The sequence below is a fragment of the Homo sapiens genome, chromosome 17 (genome assembly GCF_000001405.40).
Source record: "Homo sapiens chromosome 17, GRCh38.p14 Primary Assembly".
In the NCBI taxonomy this organism is placed as follows: Eukaryota; Metazoa; Chordata; class Mammalia; order Primates; family Hominidae; genus Homo; species Homo sapiens.
This window is the reverse complement of record NC_000017.11, coordinates 44339437-44353188: the sequence shown is the minus strand read 5'-3', so window position 1 is coordinate 44353188 and position 13752 is coordinate 44339437. Positions and strand designations below refer to the sequence as shown.

Genomic DNA, 13752 nt, shown 5'->3' with positions numbered 1-13752 from the left:
GGGGAGGGGAGTGTTGGCAGTGGACGTGAACCCCTGTTCTGGGGCCCTGGGGAGGGCAGGCAGGGCGGCAAATCAGACACTGTTAAGAAAGTGTACAAACTTTATTGAAACGCACACGCGCACACACACAAACACCCCTGTGGATAGGGAAAAGCACCTGGCCACAGGGTCCACTGAAACGGGGAGGGGATGGCAGCTTGTAATGTGGCTTTTGCCACAACCCCCTTCTGACAGGGAAGGCCTTAGATTGAGGCCCCACCTCCCATGGTGATGGGGAGCTCAGAATGGGGTCCAGGGAGAATTTGGTTAGGGGGAGGTGCTAGGGAGGCCTGAGCAGAGGGCACCCTCCGAGTGGGGTCCCGAGGGCTGCAGAGTCTTCAGTACTGTCCCTCACAGCAGCTGTCTCAAGGCTGGGTCCCTCAAAGGGGCGTCCCAGCGCGGGGCCTCCCTGCGCAAACACTTGGTACCCCTGGCTGCGCAGCGGAAGCCAGCAGGACAGCAGTGGCGCCGATCAGCACAACAGACGCCCTGGATGGTCAGAGGGGGGCGAGAGGGTTGGACGAGGTGGGACCTGGTCCCTGGCCATACCCAGCCCCAGGATGGGGGTTGGCACTGACCTGGCGGTAGGGACAGCAGGCCCAGCCCTGTCGGTTGTCTCGGCAGCAGGTCTGGTTATCATGGCAGAAGTGTCCTTCCCCACACTCCACGTCCTTCACACCCACGTGAGGGCTACGGGCCAGGAAGGTGGCAGGCTGGGCAGAGACCACTTCCTTCTCGCAGGATCGAGCCTTCACGTTGCAGGTGTAGCCAGCCGGGCAGCAGTGCTGGCGATCCTCGCAGCACACAGCCTGGCGGGGAAGGGAGCACAGAATGGCATTATGTTCCTGTCCCCTCACTGGGCTTAGCTCCCCTATCCAGGGGCAGGCAGGGAGGCACTCACATGGGGCAACTGGCAGCAGGCCCAGCTCCCACCCAGGCTCGGGCAGCAGGTCTGCCCCACCGGGCAGCTGGTGTGCTGGTCACAGCCGATGTCTCTGGGGTGGGATAAGGAAGCCCGGCGGGCAGGCATCTTCTCCAGTCCAGCCACGATCTCGCTTCCTCGCTGACACTGCCCCTCAGCTACACACGTGTAGCCCTGGGGGCAGCAGTGCTGGTGGTCCGAGCAGCAGACAGCCTGGGGGGTGGGCAGGAAAGGGCGTTGTAGGTAGCCACTATGTGGGGCGCAGTGCCGAGCCCCTACCTACTCCAGCCCGCCTCTCCTGCTTACAGCACCTCCAGCTGGGGACGAATCTGTCAGAGCTGGGTATCACCTATGGGCTATGCGGAGGGCAGAAAGCAATAGGAGCTTGGCCACCCACCTGCCCAGGCCAAGATGCTGTCCCCTCCCATATACCTCTGGGATTGGACAGCAGCCCCACTCCCCAGACGTGAGTTGGCAGCAGGTATCGGAGGAGGGACAGCTGCTGACATTATCACAGGGGACATCTCTCTTCAAGGCTTGTGGGTCTGGCAGGCTGAGGTGAGCTGGGGCCTTCTCCATCCAGGGCACCTGGTGGGGCCCCTGTTCACAGGTACCCTTCTGCGTGTCACACGTAAACCCCGCGGGACAGCAGTGTATGTGGTCCTCACAGCACACAGCCTAGGGCAGATGAAGAAGGGCAGGTGGGCACTGGGGCCCGGCTGCCTGCCACACTGTGCTCAGCCCACCCACCCGCCACCCCTGGGTACCTGGGTAAAAGGGCAGCAGCCCCAGGCCCCCGACTGTAGACGGCAGCAGGTATAGCCATCTGGGCAGCTCACCTCCATGTCACATTTCACATCCCCCACTGTGAGGGAAGCAGAGAGGACAGGTCAGAAGTGGCACTGGGGACCCTCAGGGGTATCAACCCTTTGCCGGCTCCACAGCTGGAACCAGGTGTTGAAGATGGAGGGTACCGCTTACACCACCTTGCAGTGATCCTAAGGCCAGGCCTAAAAGGGAGGAAAGGGGGCCCCACCCCTGTATCTGCACCCTGCCTCTGGTACCTGTGTGCGCAGGCAGCTTAGTGAGGAGGTCCGTGGTAGCGTTCTCCTTGGAGAGGCACTTACTCTGGATCAGGTCACACACAGTGTCTTGGGGGCAGCAGTGCAGGTGATCGGAGCAGCAGGTGGCCTGAGTGGGGACAGGGGTGGGTCTTTGTCACTTCCAGGCTCAGTAGCACACAGGGAGCAGCCAGGCTGATGGCTGGCACTGCCCCAATCCCCCACTAGGGGGTAGCATGAACCCTGCATCAGCCAGGCTCCCAGCAAGCAGCCAGCCAGCCCCATGCCACAGAGCCCCTGTAAGGTGCGTGTCAGGGCCAGGTGGCTGGGGGCACACAGCCAAGCTGGCTCCAGCCCCTCACTCACGTTGGGCATTGGGCAGCAGCCATACTTCCCACTGGGCAGCTCACAGCAGGTAGAACCATCAGGGCACCGGGACCGTGCGTCCGGACACATGACCGAGCTGGACAAGGCCACTGGAAGAGGAGCAAACGTGAGGGGCAGCCAGGATGGAGGAAACTTTTTCCTACACTTGGAGTCAATGAGGCCCCGCCCCAGCCCCTGGCCTGATGCTCTCCCACCTCCTCACCTGCCCTGTTAGTCCTCTGGGCAGGGAGCTTCTTTGCCAGGGGGTGGGTGCCCGTGGGTGTGATGCAGCGGGTGTGAACCAGGTCGCAGAAGGCACCGTGCGGACAGCAGTGCACCCTGTCTTCACAGCAGGAAGCCTGAGAAAAAATGGTCCTGACTCCGTCTTCACCCCCTGCCCCTGGCCCCCAACTCTGCCCCCACTTCCCTCCACATACCCCCATCTCCCCCAGATTTGTACCTGGGGCATGGGGCAGCACCCCCAGGAGCCATCGACCATAACACAGCACGTGGAGAAGTCCGGGCATTCGAACTGACTATCAGGGCACTGGATGGCACCCACGGAGTTGTTACCTGTGGACAAGATGACCCAGGATACTACCAGCCCACTCAGGGAAGGTGACTCCCCCATCACACAAGGAGCTGGTGGCACCAGGGCCTGCAAGCCCAGCTACTGGGGTTTGAGGGTGACACTAAGGCTCAGTGATCTCCTAGGCAGGCCTAACTCACCCTCCTCACAATCCAGTCCCTCCCTCAGCAAGATGGCATGGGGAAGGGGCACCCACTGACCATGGGTTGGTATTAGACCGGCCCAGCTCGACCTCTCCCCACCCCCACAACGCCTGGACCTGGAGTCTTGCACTTTCTCCCGCACCCTCCTATCCCCAGTGCTGCCCCTCTGTCCACAGCAGGGCTGTTGCTTAGTACAGATGCCACATGAATGAGGGCACAAGGGCAGGAATCAGGGCTGCCCCCGCCAGCTGGGCTCCTGGGTTCCAGACTCCACATGCTGCCCGTCTGCCTGCCCTGCACCCACACCCCAGCTGCACCTGATCTTTGGAAGCAGGATCGCCCGTCTGCACTGCAGTGGAAGCCCCGTGGGCAGCAGTGATGGCCATCCCCGCATGCCACGGCCTGTGGAACACAGAGAAACCTGCATTGGCAGGGCCCTTTTATCTGCAGGTGGTAGAGTGCAGGAAAAGCATAAATGCAGACCTAAGCCCCTCCACTGGGCTGATGGCACGCTCACCTCTGGGAAGGGGCAGCAACTGGAAGTCCCTGAGACGGTAAAGATGCAGGAGTGGCCGGCAGAGCAGTGGGCATCAACCTGGCAGGGGCCACCCAGATGCCTGCTCAGTGTTGTGGGCCATTTGTCCTAGAAAGACAGGGAAAATGATAAACCACAGACTTGTGCCTGGCGTCCTCCTCTGGCCAATCCAAGATGACCCTTTGGGAAAACCCAGGCTGCCAGCTCTTGCCTAGGCTGAGGGGCACTCACCAGAAGGGGACGGCAGCAGCTGTAGCTGGCTCCTCCGGGGTCCAGGCAGCAGGCCACAGGGCAGAACTGACCATCTGGGCACCGCGTTCCAGCCACCAGCCCTGCTGTTAAGGCCACCCAGCTCACCAGGGTCCACATGGTCTGCCTGCAAAGTACCAAGGAACGTCTGGCAACTGCTTAAGCCCACGCCACCCTTGATTCTAGGGTCACTCAGTACCCTAGCCCCAGGCCAAGGTCCTGGCCCAGGACTGCCTGAGCCTTCTCAACACCTCCCTGTCCAGGCAGGCAGAAATCTGCAGGGGCTGAGAGTCAGCTTCCTACAGCGCCCCGTGTGTGACACTTGCCCCAGCATGTGCGGACCTGTAAGCATGAATGCTGACATGCGTATATGTGTGGGTCTGAGTCCCCAGCACATGGCCTAATGCCTGGGCCTCACTGGGCAGGCTTATGAGAGTCAGGAAGACGTGATTTTTGTGGGTCTGATCTGTGCAGATGTGGGCCACCTCTGGGGTGAGGGGAAGGCATCAGTAGCCATGGGAGAGGACAGGGCTAGGGTGCAGGGAGGGAGTCCCCCCAGGAAAAGCCAGGGTTCCCCTCCAGATGCCTCCTTGCCTGACACTATGTTCATACCTGCACCCCGCTAAGGCCTTGCGGGAAGCGGCCACATGATGACATGGGAAACCACAGGGGTGAGAAAGTTGTGAAAAAGGAAATATGGTGGCCAGTGGAGTCTGGGCTGCCTTCCCCAGAGGTCACCATCTGCCCATGAATGTCCCCTCCTCACCCAGAGAAAAGGACACAGAAGCTGGGTCAGCCCTTGAGACACCTGTGTTCTGAGGGTCCCCCACACCACCAGGGCCCTCTGAGATTCCTCAAGCATGCTAAACCCTGCCCTTGCCTCTCCATCTATTCTGGAAGTGAAACTCAGCCACATGTGGAGAGAGACCACGTGTGCCCACTGGGCTGCCCATCTGAGTCACCAGGAGGAACTGAGCCTTGAGTCTCTGTGGAGAGCAGCCTCTCACTTCCTAAACAACTCTTCTCCCAGGCTCAGCTAGCCCAGCTAGTTCAGTGGGGTGGCCAGAGAGGTAACTCATAATGAAGAAGCAAAAACAGTAATGTCTGTTGAGCCTCTTGGGAGCCAGTTACAAGACTCTCCATTATTTTATATATATTTCTTTGCAACAACCATCCAAAGTAGTAATTAATACCTTTACTTTTATTTTATTTTTAGAGATGAGGTATTGCCATGTTGCCCAGGCTGGACTCAGACTCCTGGGATCAAGCAATCCTCCAACCTTGGCCTCCTACTAAGTAGCTGGGACTGTGGGAGCGTGCCACCACGTCTGCTCACCCCCTTTTTTTTTTTTTTTTTGAGACAGTCTTGCTCTGTTGCCCATGCTCGAGTTCAGTGGCACGATCTCAGCTCACTGCAACCTCTGCCTCCCAAGTTCAAGCAAGTAGCTGGGACTACAGGCGCTCGCCACCACGCCTGGCTAATTTTTGTATTTTTAGCAGAGAGGGGGTTTCACCATATTGGTCAGGCTGGTCTTGAACTCCTGACCTCAGCTGATCCACCCACCTCAGCCTCCCTAAGTGCTGGGATTACAGGCTTGAACCACCACACCCAGCCACACCTTTATTTTAAAGGAGGAAACTGAAGCTTAGAGATGTTAAGTACAGTCAGCCCTCCATATCCAACCAGGGATCAAAATATATTGGGCGCGGTGGCTAACGCCTGTAATCCCAGCACTTTGGGAGGCCCAGGTGGGCGGATCCCAAGGTCAGGAGTTCAAGACCAGCCTGACCAACGTGGTAAAACCCCATCTCTATTAAAAATACAAAAATTAGCCATGCGTGGTAGCGCACACCTGCAATCCCAGCTACTCAAGAGGCTGAGGCAGGAGAATCGCTTGAGCCCAGGAGGTGGAGGTTGCAGTGAGCAGAGATCACGCCAACATACTCCAGCCTGGGTGACAGAGTGAGACTGAGATTCTGTCTCAAAAAACAAAACAAAAAAACCCCTGAAAATGTTACATCGTTGCTGAGTTATACAATGTAGTTAGGCTTACGATGGGTGCATCTATACTGAACATCTACAGATAGTTCTTTCTTATTATTCCCTAAACAATTCAGGATCACAACTATTTACATGGCATTTCTTTTTCTTTTTCTCTTTTTTTTTTGAGATGGAGTCCTGCTCTGTCACCCAGGCTGTAGTACAGTGGCGCGATCTCAGCTTACTGCGAACTCCGCCTCCCAGGTTCAAGCAATTCTCCTGCCTCAGCCTCCCAAGTAGGTGGGATTATAGGTGTGCGCTACCACACCTGGCTAATTTTTGTATTTTTAGTAGAGATGGGGGTTTCACCATGTTGGTCAGGCTGGTCTCAAACTCCAGACCTCAGGTGATCCACCTGCCACGGCCTCCCAAAGTGGTGGGATTACAGGCATGAGCCACCACGCCCAGCCGACATGTCATTTCCATTGTATTAGGTATAAGTAATCTAGAAATGATTTAAAGTATGTATAGGTTATATGCAAATATTACACCATTTTATCTCAGGGGCTTGAGCACCCACAGATTTTGGGGTCCTGGAACCAGTTCCGTGAAGATACCAAGGGACACCTATAACACGTCACACATCAGGTCATGGTGACGTCAGGCTTTGATGGCCCCAGAGCGTATTGGACCTGGGTTCATATCACTAGTGGCACGATGGGCAGTGCCTGGGAATGGTGCAACAGGTACAACAGAAACAGGGTACAGGGACTGCCTGAAAATCGCACTTGGGTCCTAATCCTAGAATTGCCAACTGTGAGGGCCTGAGAAGTTGCTCTCTGTCTGTGCCTCAGTTACCCCACGAGTCTAGGTGTGGATACCACTGCGGGGGGAGGGGCAGGAAATCTCACCCACCCAGTCACTCACATCCTCTCTGCTCCACCTGGCTTTCCTCAAGTGCCCCTCCCCTAACTCAGCATCCCCAAGAGGCCACCTCCTGGACAGATAAGGATGAAGTTCACTGGTCCTGGACAGTGGACCCTCTCCTCAGCCCCACAGCTCCCAGGCAAAGCACCTGCAGCTGGCACCGCCTGCTTCCTGGGTGTTCTCAGCAGGCTGTCCGCTGCCATGGCTTGCTGGGAAGGGGAGTCTGTCTGCACAGGAGTGTTCGGCTCCCTGGTGAATTACCTGTGCATGTGGCCCCTCCTGTTTACCCTAAATTGAGGGAGTATAGTGTATGCTTCTACTGAATACAAGCACTCGCATACAGAAACAGGGATGAGGAGGCGAGTCGCAGTCTCTCATGCCACCCTACACCGCCAAAACAGCCAGAGGGGACAGCAGCCTCTTCAAGACCCTAGCTCCGTTATCTTCCACTAGGTGGCACCCCCCAACTCCGAGTGCCAAGGGGAGAGGAAATTCCCAAAAGGGGAGCCAACCTAGCTGCAAATGAGCAGGAAAAAGTGGCTGGGAGAGGCGGAAGCTAGCTCGTCCCACCCGCAACAAGAGGAAGTAAGGAGGAGCCAGACCAGGTTCAGTCACCACTCCCAAGTCCCTACTACCTTCGAGAAGCCAAGGTCTCAGGTCTCGTTCCCAGGCCCTCGGAGCTCCCAGCCCAGGGTCGCGCGCCCCTCCGGCTCCAGGCCGCCGCGGGAACCACCCACCACCACCAGGAGAGGGGAAGAAGCCAGCACCTACCGACAGGGGTGGAGCTGGGTCAAGAATGGTGTGGTCCCTGCTTTGGGGGAATGCTGGGGAGGTAGAAAGCCCCTTCTAACGGGGCGTCACTGCAATTACTGCTTCCTCTTTCCCATAAAACTCCCCCTAGTGTATCAGAACCCCCAAGGAGTTTCAGTAAGCGGTTCTTCTGTTGTCTCCGGCTGAGACTCCAGGGGAACCTCAAGCTCACATGGCCCTGGCGGGCCCCTGGGCAGGAGCAGGCGAGAGGTCTGCGCGGCCGCTCTCCTACCTGCGTCCGACTCCGCGGTCCTTGGGCAGCAGCAACCGGGTAGCGCTCAGACTACAGACCCCAGCGCGATGACCCGCCTACCTCAGTTTCCATTGGCCAGGGATCAGGGCTACCCGCTCCCATTGGCTACTTATCAATATAGAGGTGGGGCCAGCCTGGAATGCTGTGTTTCTTTTCTACTCAAATCACTCTCCTCCCTGCTTCCTCTCGCCCCACACCCCATTTCTAGGGATCATGTGATTGGAGAATCATGTGACGTCGGGACAGCCTCAGCAGGGCAGCTGGTGCTCGTCGCCTTCCTTAACCCATCCTGCAGGCGCCTGGGGGAGTTTGCTAGAGATGATAGCGCGTGTCTGGGGCATTGACAGTGCGAGGGAGTGTTATGAATTGGGAATATTTGTGCTCGCCTTTCTATCCTTTTGTTTGTTTGTTCTGAGACGGAGTCTCACTCTGTCGCCAGGCTGGAGTGCAGTGGCACGATCTCGGCTCACTGCAACCTCTGCCTCCCGGGTTCAAGCGATTCTCCTGCCTCAGCCTCCCGAGTAGCTGGGACTACAGGCGCGCACCACCACGCCCAGCTAATTTTTGTATTTTTAGTAGAGACGGGGTTTCACCATGTTGGCCAGGATGGTCTCGATTTCTTGACCTCGTGATCCGCCCACCTCGGCCTCCCAAAGTGCTAAGATTACAGGCATGAGCCACCGCGCCCGGACTTGTGTGTTTGTTTTAGAGACAGGGTCTCGCTCAGTCGCCCAAGCTGATCATAGCTCACTGCGGCCTGCAACTCCTGCTCCCAAAGCGATTCTCCTACCGCAGCCCCCCAAGGCGCTGGGATTACAAATGTGAGCTACTGAGCTGGCTCGCTCCTATCCTATCCTGCCCTGTCTTGTCCTGTCCTGTCCTGCCCTATTCTGCCCTATTCTCCAAACTCGGTTGACATGCTAGGCAGGCCCCAGAGTGAGTTGAAGGATGGTTTCCAGGACAAAGATAAACAGCCCCAAAGCCCTTTCCTCAAGGTGCTCAGCAGGACAGGGAGCAGGGATTGGTGGGAGACAGTCTCAGGCTGAATCTAATTTAAGATACAAGGTTGTGCGCCAGTTGCCAGGTGTAGGGAGAGGAAGTAGATTGTCTCCAGGTGGGGAAGAAGAGATTTCATTCCACCTTAGGAGCATCTCCTTGAGCTGAGTCTGGGAAGATTTTAACTGGCAGGTGGAGGAGGAGGTGTTGGGAAGAGCCCTGGGAAACCAGATGGGAAGGGCAGGCTTGGCAGGGATTGAATGCCATGTTCAATGCCAGTGGGCTTCAGGAGCTGCTGGGTGCCTGGCACGGGCTGGGCTGTGGTGGGGGCTGTCGAAAGAGAAGTGGCTTCCTAGTCTCCAGATCGGCCCTGCCTTCGAGGAATTGATATGGGAGGGTGAGGAGAGAAAATGTACCACAGAACAGATTAGCCAGTGACAAGAGTCAGCCTGCTTGGTGCCAAAGGGCCTGGGCCAGGCAGAGATGGATGATGGGAGATGGGCCAGGAGAGAGGAGAGGCCCAGGGAAAGCCTGATACTGGGCCGTGGAGGAACGGCAGTGTCTGCACAGGGGATGGAGACTGCTGCAGCCTGAGCAAGGAACTGGAGCTGAGGATGAGGCAGGGGCAGGGGGATGGCTAACCAAGCTCGAGGCAGCAGAAGTCGGAGGAGGGAAAGGGTGCCAACCGAGCTGTGGAGTCGTGTGGCAGGGGTTCTAAGCCTGGAGCTAGAGCAGACCCAGACAGCGGATAAGACACCTGGCCTGCTGAGGACCTAGTACTAGTCTGTGCCCTGGTGACACATTTGTGCTTATTTTCCTTCCTGTGTATCTTGAGACTAGGGAGTATAGTTTATGCTTCTATTGAAACACACACACACATGAAACTTTCATGAAATGTTAGGTGAATCGATCAATAACCTACTAATTACAACCACCCAGAACCAGAAAAAAATACAGGTAGAAGAAAAAAAACCTAAACAGACTGAAACAAATATCACAAAGTCTAATCGTCAAAGCCGTGATTCTTGAGCAGCGGCAATTTTGCCGGCCAGGGACATTTAGGAGTGTCTGGAGACAATCTGGGTTGTCACAACTCAGGGTGGAGGGACACTGGCATCTGGTAGGTAAGGGCCAGCAATCCCACTAAACATCACACGACACACAGAACAATCCCCCACAACAAAGAAGTATCCTGCCCAAAAGGTCAATAGTGCTGAGACTCAACAACCTACTTCACAAATGTTTCTCTCTCTCTCTCTCGCTCTTTTTTTTTTTTTTTTTAACATCAGAAGGGTAAGGTGCCACGATAACGAGGTCTGTAATTCCCTACTCAGGAGGCCGAGGCAGGAGAATCGCTTGAACCCGGGATGCAGAGGTTGCAGTAAACCGAGATCGTGCCACTGCATTCCAGCCTGGACAACAGAGCGAGACTCCATCCACCCCCGCCAACACAAAAAAATTAAAGTGTACAACTCAATGGTTTTTAGTGTCTTAAGAGAGTTATGCAGCATCATTACAATCAGTTTAAGACCATTTTTATCACCACAGAAGGCAGCCTTATGTCCTTTAGCAGTCACCCTCCCTAACCCTAGGCAACCACTGATCTACTTTCTACCTCTATAGATTTGGATATTCCATATAAATGAAATTTTATAATATGTGATCTGCAACTGGCTTCTTTCACTTAGCATAATGTTTTCAAAGCTTATCACATAGCAGGTATCAGTATCTCATTTCTTTTTTGTTTGTTTCTTTTCATTTGTTTGAGACAGAGTCTCACTCCAACACTCAAGCTGGAGTGCAGTGGCACGATCTTGGCTCACTGCAACCTCTGCCTCCTGGGTTCAAGCAATTCTCCTGTCTCAGCCTCCCGGATAGCTGGGATTACAAGCATGTGCCATGATGCCCAGCTAATTTTTGTATTTTAGTAGAGACAGGGTTCCGCCATGTTGACCAGGCTGGTCTCGAACTCCTGACCTCAAGTGATCCACCCACCTCAATCTCCCAGACTGCTGGGATTACAGGCGTGAGCCACCACGCGTGGCCCATTTTTGTTTGTTTCTTTGTTTTTGAGACAGAGCCTTCCTCTGCCGCCCAAGCTGGATTACAGTGGTGCCACCTTGTACTGCAGCCTCAGACCCTCCCACCTCAGCCTCCTGAGTAGCTGGGAATACAGACACATGCCACCACTCCCAGCTATATTTTGTATTTTTTTGTCTTAATATGTTGCCTAGTCTGGTCTCAAGCTCCTGGCCTCAAGTGATCCTGCTGCCTCAGCCTCCCAAAATGCTGAGATTACAGATTACAGGCTTGAGCCACTGTGCCTATCTTCATCATCCCCCCAGCATTTTTTTTTTTTTTTTTGAGACAGGGTATTGCTCTGTTACCCAGGTTGGAGTGCAGTGGTGTCATCTCTGCTCACTGCAACCTCTGCCTCCTGGGCTCAAGTAATCCTCCCACCTCCGCCTCCCAAGTAGCTGGGACTACAGGTGCTTATCACCATGTCCAGCTAATTTTTGTGTGGTTTTTGTAGAGACAGGGTCTTGCCATGTTGGTCAGCTAGTCTCAAACTCCTGAACTCCAGGGATCCTCCCACTTCAGCCTCCCAAAGGGCTGGGATTACAGGAGTGAGCCACCACGCCCGGCCCATACAAGTTTTTGTGTGGACATGTTTTCATTTCTCTTGGGTATATACCTAGGAGTAGAATTAGTGGATTACATAATAATTCTGTTTAGCCTTTTGTGTAACTACCAGCCTGTTTTCCAAAGCAGCTGCACTATTTTACATTCCCACCAGCGATGTATGAGGGTTTCAATTTCTCTTTAGCCTCATCCATGGTTAACTTCTGTTATCATCTGTCTTTCTTATCATAACCATCCTAAGCCTTTAGTGTGAGCTGGTGGGCTGGCGACCCAGGAGAGCTGATGGTTAAGTCTGAGGGTAGCCTGCAGGAGAATTCCCTCTAGTTCGGCGAGGCCCGTCTTTCTGTTTTATTCAGGTCCATCCACATTATGGAGTATCGCGGGATCTGGCCAGCAGCCCACAAGGCAATGGGGCTCTCTCTTTGTCCCCAGGTGGATCGGCAGGTCGGGAAATAATAGACACACACAAGATAGTGAAAGCTGGGTCCAAGGGGGTCACCGCCTTCTGGTCCTGCGATGCTGCCAATGCACTGGATATACCAGCATTTATTATTAAGTTTAGTGAGGGCGAGGGTAGGTTAGTGAGGGATTTAGGGTCGTTTGATTATGAGGTGAGATGGTCACATGGGGATGAAGTAATTCTTTAACATAACATCTGTATGCAGAAGTACAGTATACAGAGATAAGAATTTACAATATAGTGTGTGCATCAGTAATTTCTAACAGAGCCTTAAAACAGAAACACAGTCTTTCCATAACCTATGATTAGCAAGATATTAATCAGCAGTAAGAGTTGCAGCAAAAGCTGGTTACAAACAATCCATAGAAACAGGACGTGAAGCTAGATAACCAGTTAGACCAGAAATTATCAGAAGGGAGTATGCCTTAACCTTAAAGAGGCCTAGAAGAGCCATGGCAAGATGAGGGCATTTATAGCCCTATCTTATCCATATGAACAGGTGCCGCTCATGCGTCCATTTATAGGCCCTCCACAAGGGTCACATTCCATTCCCAGGGCTATGAACATCTGCTTTTCTGGGATAGGAATATTGGTGATGTGAAACCTCCCTGACTGCACGTCTGTTCATAGGCTCTCTTCAGGGGGAAGCACATCACGAGCTGTTGGCTTATACTGGCAGTCCAACCTGGCATTGTCTTTACACAATCCTGCATGCAATTTCGTATTTACAATAATCAGGAGCATTTCATCTTTTATTCCGTAGCAATAGTTTCAGGGGGTCTCCCTACAATGGAGAGCAATTTGCTTTAACCAAAGTTCACTGATTTAAATGTTAATCTAATCCAGGAGCACCATCCAAGTAGATACATTGTTCTACCATCACAGTATTATTTGCTGATTGTTTTTGCAGTATTTTCTTTCTTGTTGAACTGTAGGAGCTGTTTATATATTCTGGGTATTTTGTATGTTTCAGATGCTTCCTCCCAATCTGTCATTTGTCTTTTGTGTTGTTGTTATGTCATCTGAAATATATTGGTCAATCTTTTCCTTTGTGGCTTCTGCTTTTTTTTTTTTTTTATTTTCCTTCGCTTAAGAAGTTACAGGGGCCGGGCGTGGTGGCTCACGCCTGTAATCCCAGCACTTTGGGAGGCTGAGGCGGGTGGATCACAAGGTCAGGAAATGGAGACCATCCTGGCTAACACGGTGAAACTCCATCTCTACTAAAAATCCAAAAAATTAGCCAGGCGTGGTGGTAGGCGCCTGTAGTCCCAGCTACTCGGGAGGCTGAGGCAGGAGAATGGCGTGAACCAGGGAGGCGGAGCTTGCAGTGAGCCGAGATGGCACCACTGCACTCCAGCCTGGGCGACAGAGCAAGACTCTGTCTCAAAAATTAAAAAAAAAAAAAAAAGTTACAGGGGGCCAGGCCTATTGGCCTGTAATCCAGCACTTTGGGAGGCAGAGGTGGGTAGATCACTCAAGGTTAGGAGTTCAAGACCAGCCTGGCCAGCATGGTGAAACCCTGTCTCTACTAAAAATACAAAAATTAGCTGGGCATGGTGGCACATGCCTGTAATCCCAGCTACTCAGGAGGCTGAGGGAGGAGAATCACTTGAACCTGGGAGGCGGAGACTGCAGTGAGCCAAGATGGCACCACTGCACTTGAGCCAGGGCAAGTGAGACTTTGTCTAAAAAAAAAAAAAAAACAACAAGTTACATACCAGCAGGCAGGCACAGTGGGTCACGCCTGTAATCCCAGCACTTTAGGAGGCCAAGGCCAA

At 54.0% G+C, this 13752-nt stretch overlaps 1 protein-coding gene across 1 annotated transcript, besides 3 other annotated features; it reads right to left on the bottom strand.

The window, feature by feature from the left end:
* GRN (granulin precursor) lies at nucleotides 83–7887 on the bottom strand. Its single transcript, NM_002087.4, has 13 exons — nucleotides 7855–7887; nucleotides 3887–4031; nucleotides 3638–3763; nucleotides 3438–3522; nucleotides 2849–2961; nucleotides 2612–2747; nucleotides 2389–2498; nucleotides 2026–2152; nucleotides 1729–1826; nucleotides 1394–1639; nucleotides 941–1174; nucleotides 618–848; nucleotides 83–528 (listed from the first exon to the last, which is right to left on the bottom strand). Exons 2-13 carry the CDS (start codon nucleotides 4022–4024, stop codon nucleotides 391–393), a joined length of 1782 nt encoding a protein of 593 aa, NP_002078.1. The 5' UTR covers nucleotides 4025–4031; nucleotides 7855–7887; the 3' UTR covers nucleotides 83–390.
* Nucleotides 2114–2408: a silencer, noted in NCBI's record as "tiled region #15390; K562 Repressive DNase unmatched - State 12:CtcfO". NCBI's record gives its function as "represses a minimal TATA promoter and a strong SV40 promoter by Sharpr-MPRA in K562 cells {active_cell/tissue: K562}" and the evidence as "EXISTENCE:reporter gene assay evidence [ECO:0000049][PMID:27701403]".
* Nucleotides 7615–7764: an enhancer, noted in NCBI's record as "active region_12260". NCBI's record gives its function as "activates an Ori minimal core promoter by ATAC-STARR-seq in GM12878 lymphoblastoid cells {active_cell/tissue: GM12878}" and the evidence as "EXISTENCE:reporter gene assay evidence [ECO:0000049][PMID:35858748]".
* Nucleotides 8916–9841: an enhancer, noted in NCBI's record as "H3K4me1 hESC enhancer chr17:42420716-42421641 (GRCh37/hg19 assembly coordinates)". NCBI's record gives its function as "activates a minimal SCP1, AML or CMV promoter by ChIP-STARR-seq in naive H9 embryonic stem cells {active_cell/tissue: H9 hESC(naive)}" and the evidence as "EXISTENCE:reporter gene assay evidence [ECO:0000049][PMID:30033119]".